This window comes from Homo sapiens, chromosome X, assembly GCF_000001405.40.
Source record: "Homo sapiens chromosome X, GRCh38.p14 Primary Assembly".
In the NCBI taxonomy this organism is placed as follows: Eukaryota; Metazoa; Chordata; class Mammalia; order Primates; family Hominidae; genus Homo; species Homo sapiens.
In genome coordinates this window covers 109886042-109895106 of record NC_000023.11, presented here as the reverse complement: position 1 = coordinate 109895106, position 9065 = coordinate 109886042, and the positions used below count along the sequence as shown (strand labels likewise).

Here is a 9065-nt window from a genome sequence, read left to right as displayed (position 1 = left end):
TAAAGACATTTGGACTTTTTTTCTATCTGTAGAATAGCATAATTCAGAACTATTCCACACTGTTGTTCTGGAAAAATTTTCCTCATGCAATGTAAATGTAATGACTGACTTAAAAAGTCTGAAAATGAAGCATCAAAGAATAAAAATGTGGTTTAAAATCTTTAAAAAAAAAGAAATAGTAAAAATAAATAAATAAATAAATAAGGAAAGAAAGCAGGAAAAATAAAACTAAAAACAAACAAGAAATCTTGAAAGTAGCCAGAGAAAAACAATGAATTACCTATGGGGAAACACCAATTCAAATTACAGCAGATTTCTCATCTGATACCATGGAGGCAAGAACGAAGTGACACAACTTGAAAGTATGGAGACAGGAGAATTGTCAACTGCAAATTCTATATCTGGCAAAAATATTCTTAAGGAATGAGAGTGAAATAAAGCATTCTTAAATGAAGGAAAAACTAAAAGAATTTGTCACTAGCAGAACTCTTAAATAATAGCTAGGAGAAGCTCTTTAAACAGAAAAAAACGATAAAAGAAGGAATCCTGGCACATCAGGAAAAAAGTATATAAAACAAATATACTAGTACACAGAAGACATTATCAGTTTCCTCATGAGTTTTATAAGTCATGTTTGATTGCTGAAACAAAAATTATAACACCCTGTGATACTGAGGACAATGATAATTAAGACCATGGAAGATGAAGAAACATAAATAGAAGTGAGGTTTTCACACTTCACTTGAAGTAGTAAAATGCGATATCATCTAACCCCAGTTAAAATACCTTTTATCCAAAAAGCAGGCAATAACAAATGCTGGTGAGGATGCAGAGAAAAGGCAACCCTCGTAAACTGTTGGTGGGAAGGTAAATTAGTACAATCACTATGGAGAGCAGTTTGGCGATTTCTCTAAAAAACTAAAAGCAGAGCCACTGTATGATCCAGCCATCCCACTGCTGGGTATATACCCAAAGGCAAGGAAATCAGTATATCCAAGAAATATTTGCACTCCCATGTTTGTTGCAGCCCTGCTCACAAAAGCTAAGATTTGGAAGCAACCTGCGTCCATCAACAGATGAATGGATAAAGAAAAAGTGGTACATATACTCAAGGGAGTACTATTCAGCCATAAAAAATGAGATCCTGTCATTTGCAACAACATGGATGGAAGTGGAGATCATTATGTTAAGTGAAATAGCCAGTCACAGAAAGACAAACCTCATGTTTTCACTTATTTGTGGGAGCTAAAAAAAAAATTGAACTCATGGAGATAGAGAGTAGAAGGATGGTTACCAGAGGCTGGGAAGGATAGTGGGGGGTCAGGGGAAGTTGGGGATGGTTAACGGGTACAAAAAATAGTTAGAAAGAATGAATCAGACCTAGTGTTTCAGGATGCATACCACGTTCTCCATGATGTGTTTATTTCACATTGCATGCCTGTATCAAAACATCTCATGTACCCCATAAATATATTCACCTACTATATACCCACAAGCACTAAAAATAAAAAGTTTTTAAAACTAAGTCAGGATTGATCACAGACATAAACATAAAATGAAAAACTATAAAACTTTTAGAAAAAAATAGGAGGAAATCTCTGGGATCTAGAGTTCAGCAGAGTTTTTAGAGTCAGCCCTAAAAGCAGGGTTTATAGAAGGAAAAATAGTTCATCGAAAATTTTAAAACTTTTGCTCTGTGAAAGTACATATGAAGAGAATGAAAAGGCAAGCTACAGACTGGGAAAAAACATGTACGAATCACGTATCTGAGAAAGTACTCATGTCTACAACACACAAAGGACTCTCAAAACTCAATATTTGATAAATCCAGTTAGAAAATGGGCAAGATATATACAGACATTTTGCGAAGAGAATATACACATGAAGAATAAACATGTGAAAAGCTATTCAACATTGTTAACCATTAGAGAAATGCAAATTACAGCTACAATGAGATAGTACTACATACATATCAGAATGTCCAAAATAAAAAATAGTGGCAACACCACTATTAGTGAAGGTGTAGAGAAACTGAGTCACTCATACATTGCTTGTGGGAATGTAAAATGGTATGGCTACTCTGGAAAACAGTCTAGCAGTTGCTTTAAAAATTAAACACGTAGCTGGGCGTGGTGGCTCACACCTGTAATCCCAGCACTTTGGGAGGCCGAGGTGTCGGGGTCACTTGAGCCCAGGAGTTTGAGACCAGCCTAGGCAACGTAGGAGGATCCCCATCTCTACAAAAAAAAAAAAAAAATTAGCCAGAAGCACACCTGTGGTCCAGCTACTTGGGTGGGCTGAGGTTGGAGGATCGCTTGAGGCCAGGAGATGAAGGCTGCAGGGAGCCATGCTCATGCCACTGCACTCAGCCTGGATGACAGAGTGAGCAAAGTGAGACCCTGTTTCGAAAAAAACAAAAAAAAGTTAAACACGTGCTTACAATGTGACTTAGCAACTGCAATCTTGGGGATTTATCCCAGGGAAATGAAAACTTATATTTATGTAAGACCTGTAAATAAATATCACAAATGCCCTTCAATGGGTGAATGATTAAACTGAAGCTCATCCATACTGTGGAATACAACTCAGCAATAAAAAAAACTACATGCAACAGCCTGGATGAATCTTTAGAAAATTATGCTGAGTGAAAATAAGCCAGTCCCAGAAGTTACATATTGTACAATTCTATCTATATCATGTCTGTGAAGTGACAAAATTATAGAAATGAAGAACAGATTAATGGTTGCCTAGGTTTAAGGAGGTGGGGGGAGATGAATATGATTATAAAAGGGCAATAGGAGGGATCCTCAAGGTGATGGCACTGTTCAGTACTTTGACTATGTACTATAAGACCTACTGTTTTAGGATGCATACCCCATTTTCCATGATATGCTTATTTAACATGTGGTGGTATCCATCACATGAACTTACATGGATGATCAAATTATATAGAACTAAATACACATACACACATATGAGGATAAATATTAATAAAACCAGGGAAATCTGAATAATATAGGTGGATTGTATCAACATCACTATTCTTACTATGATATTACAGTTTTCCAAAATGTTACCATTGGGGAAAACTGGGCAAAATGTATGAGAGATCTTGCTCTTGTTTTTTTTAGCTGCATGTGAATCTGCAATTATCTCAATAAAAATGTCAATTAAAACAAATGGCCAGTGTTGCTGAGCTTAGTGGATGAGCAGGAGAGTGGTGAGCGACAGGTAGATGAGCTAAGCAGAAGACAGATTATCCACAGCCTAGTAACCCACGGAAAGACTTTGGATTTTATCCTAAACCCATTGGGAAGCCATTGGCGGGGAGTCACATGAATTTACATATATTTTAATAAATAATTCTGGTTGCTGTGTGGAGGGGCCAGAGTGGCAGCAGGGAGACCATTGTAGCAGGCCAATGTTTTTCCCTGTATTGCTACCATTGTAGCAAGAAATTTCTGCTAGCTTGGATCAGAAATGAGTGAAGATGGAGAGATGTGGATGGATTCAGGATATATTTTGGGGGTGGAGCTAACAGAAGTTCATAGCTGGATGGATGACTATGAAGTTCCCAGTCCGGGAATTTTCTGGAATGGGGCCACTTCTACACAAACACCCTGAGCTATTCTTATAGGACAAGTGAATTTTCAGAAATGGAATATACATTTGAGTACATGCCGACGGCCTGGCCTATCACATGGGATTGGTATCAGCCTTTCTGGTAGCTTTAGACATTAGAAATCTCAAGCTATGTGGAAATTTTTAAAATAGAATTACCAAAAAAAAAAATGGCTCCTCTTGGCAGACAGATTAGAAAAAAGAGGTCAACCTCCAGATGGATGCAGTCCTGTGCAGGGCACAAGGCTTGGTGAGAAGAGCATGAGCTTAATTTCATTCCCACATCCCTTTAGCCAGGCGCCATTGTGTGGAGCACAAAAAAAGCCCTGCAGCCCTGCTGCCCATACCTAGAAGCTTGAGTCCTGCCTGCTGTTATTGCTGCCTGTGGACACTAGGGGGCAGGGCAACTATGTAAATTAGGCCTTCCCTTGCGTTCTTGGGAGGGTCTGATGTGGTGGCCCACGGACGTGGGCTGGACTTCACCTTCAGGTAAAATCCGTTAGCTCCCAGAAGTTCCCAGGCTTAGCTGGTCTGGGAAATTAATTGCTCATTAATCTCTTTGAGACAGAAGAATTGGGCTGCCAACTCATTTGACTGGTAAAACTAACCCAGTTTCCTACAAGTTTGTTTATATCTTGCCAAGTGGAGCTATGGAATGTTTCTTAAAGCAGTTTAGAAATCTGAAAAAATCCAGTATAGTCCACATCACTCCAGTATAATTCCAACATATTCTGGCTTGCAAAAGGGATCCCACCGTATTGCCAGTCAGCCAGCTAGGGAAGAGTGTGATTTATGCAGTGTTTCCTTAGAACCCAATGTTTCCAGTTATAATTGTATCTGAGCAATCTGAGTCTAGTGGCCTCCCTTGTTAATCTCTTAGGTGGCAGCACCAATGGGGTTGAGAAGACAGGTCCGGATGATTGTGAGAATAGTTCCACAGCCTCCTTGCCTGTCACTGAGTGCACAGGGCACAGAGTACAAGCATTGCTTCCTAGTGGCTACTAGGTGGCCTCTAGCATCCCCAGCCTCGGGGACCATGTCAGCTCTGTCCAAGAGGATGGGCAGATTGTGTGAAGGTGTCAGGAGACTAGCAGAATGACATTTGGGAAAGATTTCTGAGTGCCAGATGGAAGGACATGGCTACAATAGGGCATGGCAGCAGAAGGAGACAGAGGGGAGCGTAGAGAGCCAGTGTGCTGTGTCAACCGGGGCTCAGAGAACCAAGGTGAATGGAATTAAGACAACTGAAGTGAAGCAGAAGGAGGCAAATCCAGAACAGAGGGACCCAATGCCCCCGTGGGGTTGTGTCATGTTGGTATTTCTCTGGAAAGACTGTGTCTAGTTAGTGCATGGGGCCAGGATGAGGAAAATAACAGTAAAGCATTCTGTACTTTTCTAGGCTGTCTCAGTCCTATGTAAAGGTGGTGGGGGATTTGCCCTGAAAGGTGTTCTGCAAGCCCCCCTCTCAGGATAACTATATTTGCGTGGTCAGCCTGGTACCCTGAATTATTATTGTTATTTTTAATTACAAACATGTGCTTTGAATCATTAACACAAGAGAGGTCTTGTGGAAGCCAAGACTGGCTGTGCAGCCGCGGATGAAGCCTGCTTTGCAGCAGAGGGCAGCATCCACTGGTTATAGTTCATTCCTGACCTGAACAAGCCTAGTGAAAACTTTAGGGAGATTGAACAGGGGAGGAGGATGTGGTCTGGAAAATGGGAAGGGGGTGGATTTCCTCATGTTTCATCTTCTCTTGCAATGTCATGGTGTATCTGGGGACTCGGTTGTTACTGAGCACTTCTCTCCATTGAGTACAGTAAAAAGTCATAGAGGAACCAAAGAAGCTGACAAGGACTTTGAGGGATTTTTGTTGTTGTTGTTTAATCCCCAAGGAACCTTGGATAAAAGAATGATTACTTTTGCAGGAAAAGTAGCTACTAGGATTGTTTGTGGTGTGGATTTCTTTTTTGTGACATGTAAAAACACTGGTTTTAATCTAGTTTTAACACCCTGAAAATGGTTTATCTCAATATGTGCTCATCTTCCTTCCCCTTTCCAAGGGGGCCCTCCTCAAGTTCCCCTATCAGTAGCTGTCTCACTTCCTCTTAAAAGTCCCCACCCAGTAGCTGCCACATTTCACTTTGGGAAGAGGAGTAACTAAGAATGGGTAAGCTGGCTCAGAGCTTCCTTGCCCTCCTTGTCAGGGGCTCAAATTGATCTGGATCCCCTCTCCCCAAGGTTATCCAGTAACATTACAGGGACCTGAGTGTCTGCAACTGAAGTGAACTCTTGGAGAAAGGCTTGTGTATGACTTGTACCCCTTTTGGCCCAAGAAAACTCAGACAAGTCTTAGCCACTTACTCATTGTAAGAAGCAGATACGGTGTTTGAACAGAGGTCTTTTGATTGCAAATTTAGCCCTCGCTTTATGACATTGGGAGGGTCTTCTGAATAATAGAAACTTGATTAATGCCCATTGAGAGGTCATGTATATGACACAGTGGTTAAAATCCCAGTGTCTGACAACTGATGTGTGTATGTGTGTGTGTGTGTGTGTGTGTGTGTGTGTGTGTGTGTTAAAGTATACATAACATAAAATGTACCATTCTAATCATTTCTGAGTATATAATTCAGTGGCATTAAGTCTATTCACAGTGCTGTACAATCACTACTATCTATTTCCAGAACATTGTCATCATCTCAAACAGAAACTCTGCACTGACAACTAGTTTTCAATTCAGGTTCTGCCACTTAGTAGCTGTGTAAACTTGTACAGAGTCCTTAATTTCTCAGGGCCTCAACTTCCTCATTTATAAGAAGAAGATAGTAATAGTACCTGCTTCATATGATTGATTGTGTGTATATAGTAATATTTATTCATATTAATGACTAATATCAATTGATTTGTTAATTGATGAATATTTATTCCGTATTTACTGAGTTTTTACTCTGTGTCAAGCACTATGCTTTAACTAGTGAGTGACAGGGTGAAGACTTAAACTCAGATTGGCTTGACCTTAGGGCTTGCATCTGTACTGCTTTTACTGTGAGGATTCAGTGAGATAAGGATGCTCAGTGCCTGCCACACAGCATTCCCTCAACCAATGCTAGCTAGTTATTTTAGTTATTTCTTTTTTTTAGAGATGCAGGTCTTCCCTCTGTTACCCAGGCTGACCTAGAACCCCTGGCCTCAAGTGATTCTCCCACCTCAGCCTCCCGAGCAACTGGGACTACAGGTGCAAGCCACTACTACACCCAGCTTAAATGCTATTTTATGGTTATCATTACTGCTGTCAAATTGAGTTTGAAACTCGTGCCTTAACTTCTCTGGTGACAGTAAGTTGCTCTCTCCTCCTGCACAGGGAATGTCACAAATAGCAATAAATTTTCCCTCCGTTTACGTAGGAAAAAGAGGTAGGCAGCCTCTCTGATGGATGTCTGACTAACCACATCTATTTGCCACCCAAGAACTGCCACCCTGGTCGGGTGTGGTGGCTCATGTTTGTAATCCCAGAACTTTGGGAAGCCAAGGCGGGCGGATCACTTGAGGTGAGGAGTTCGAGACCAGCCTGGTCAGTATGGTGAAACCCCATCTCTGCTAAAAATACAAAAAAATTAGCTGGGTGTGGTGGCGCATGCCTGTAGTCCCAGCTACCTGGGAGGCTGAGGAAGGAGAATGGTTTGAACCCGGGAGGTGAAGGTTGCAGTGAGCCGAGATCGTGCCACTGCACTCCAACCCGGGCAACAGAGCAAGACTCTGTCTCAAAAAAACAAACAAACAACAAAAAAAAAAGAAAAGAAAAGAAAAGAAAGAAAAGAAAAAAAAAAAAAAAAAGAAGAACTGACACCCTAGCTGCATGGCTGGAGGATATCCATCTCTTTCTCCATTTTTCGCCCCTTGTAGGCCAGGCGCCTGGCAGGGCAAGCAGTGACAAAGGCTATCTTCGAAGGGTGAAGAAGAATGAAGGAAAAATCCCTTTTAGCCCCTGATTTCCATAGCTACTCTCACCTCCCCTCCTCTACCCACTACCAAGACCCCTGCCTCCCCTGCAGGCAGTAGATAACAGTGTCAAGGGAGAGAAAAAGGGAGAGAATCCTATCCTTCTCAGCCAGTCATGCTACCCCTGAAGTTTTCCCACCTCACCCTCTTGTTCTTTCAGTGCCAGTCTCTTGCTTGGGCTGGCCACAAATGAGAGAGAAGAGAATAGAGAAGTGGGACAGAATGGGGAAAATTGGGGGACTCTGTTCCCTATCTCCTGCTCACTTCCCAGCCCTCACCAGGGCTTCTCTTCCAAATTCACAAACCTATTCTAGATCCCAGCATCCTTTCCCCAGCAACTCACAGTCTTCAATCCGCTGGACTATCCATCTTTACCCCCTCACCCAGAACCACCTGAATGAGGGGAGTCATTGTCCAGCTCCAAGCAGTTCCAACAAGTTGTCCCTATTCCTGCTGTCAAGGATAGCCTGGGACCTTCCGGTTAGTTACATATCTGGATTCTCCCCTCATACTCTGTCTCAATAGGAGGGATTATTTGCCATTTCTAGACCACAACCCATGTTTTCCTACTTCCATGCTTTTGCTTCCATAATTACTTCTCCTTGAAACAAACTACCCCCTTTACTGTCATTGTTCATCTCAACTTCAACTGCTTTCAAAAAGCTTTCCCCTGTTTCTCCTTCCCAGAAGGGATATCTTCCTCTTTTTGATCTTCATTGTTTCCCATATGTATCTCTCTGAATGTACCGCTCTTCCCTGCATATACTACAAGAGGCCACTTCAGATAGCTTCTTATAGTCTCTCATGCTAATGTTTTATTTCTCCTAACAAGATAAATAACTGTCTTAGAGGCAAAGACTCTTCTTGAATTACATTTTTACCCCTTGCAATACCTTGCACATAGGAAACACTTGGTGAATACTTAATCCAAATAGCATTTTCCCTAGAAACATGGGTAGGTTTTGATTACTTTATTGATTTGGGAGGTGACCCTGGGGGCTCAGCCACTGTGAGAAACAGTGATTCCATTTATGGGAAAATGCAGGTAAGCTTTAAACAGTGAATTTCAGCATGCACAGCCTGTTTATAAATTGGGGTTGGACTAGATTGACAGCAGCAAAAGAACGCAACTGGTCATCTGCAAGTTGAGCGTTCCACCAGCAGAGGGCAACATTGGTAGCATCCAAACCAAAACAACCTTGAGCCCATGTTCCCTTCCCCCCAATTTATTTTTCTTTTTTTTCCATCACTGGGAGGAGAAAGGGGATTGATTCTCTGGCAGACAATAGAACCCCCCATCAGTTTTGTGGAAATTTGGGGTTCGGCTAGGAGGTGGCTGAAGAAAAAAAGGGGGAAGTTTGCCCCAATATACATTAAATTCCCTCTCATTGGATCCAAGTCAATACAATTCTTTAAATTTTGATATGATAGCATACATTAAAAT

General features: G+C 41.5%; 2 annotated features.

The window, feature by feature from the left end:
- Positions 3873-4167: an enhancer, noted in NCBI's record as "tiled region #2184; K562 Activating DNase unmatched - State 8:EnhW". NCBI's record gives its function as "activates a minimal TATA promoter and a strong SV40 promoter by Sharpr-MPRA in K562 cells {active_cell/tissue: K562}" and the evidence as "EXISTENCE:reporter gene assay evidence [ECO:0000049][PMID:27701403]".
- Positions 4020-4089: a silencer, noted in NCBI's record as "silent region_20937". NCBI's record gives its function as "represses an Ori minimal core promoter by ATAC-STARR-seq in GM12878 lymphoblastoid cells {active_cell/tissue: GM12878}" and the evidence as "EXISTENCE:reporter gene assay evidence [ECO:0000049][PMID:35858748]".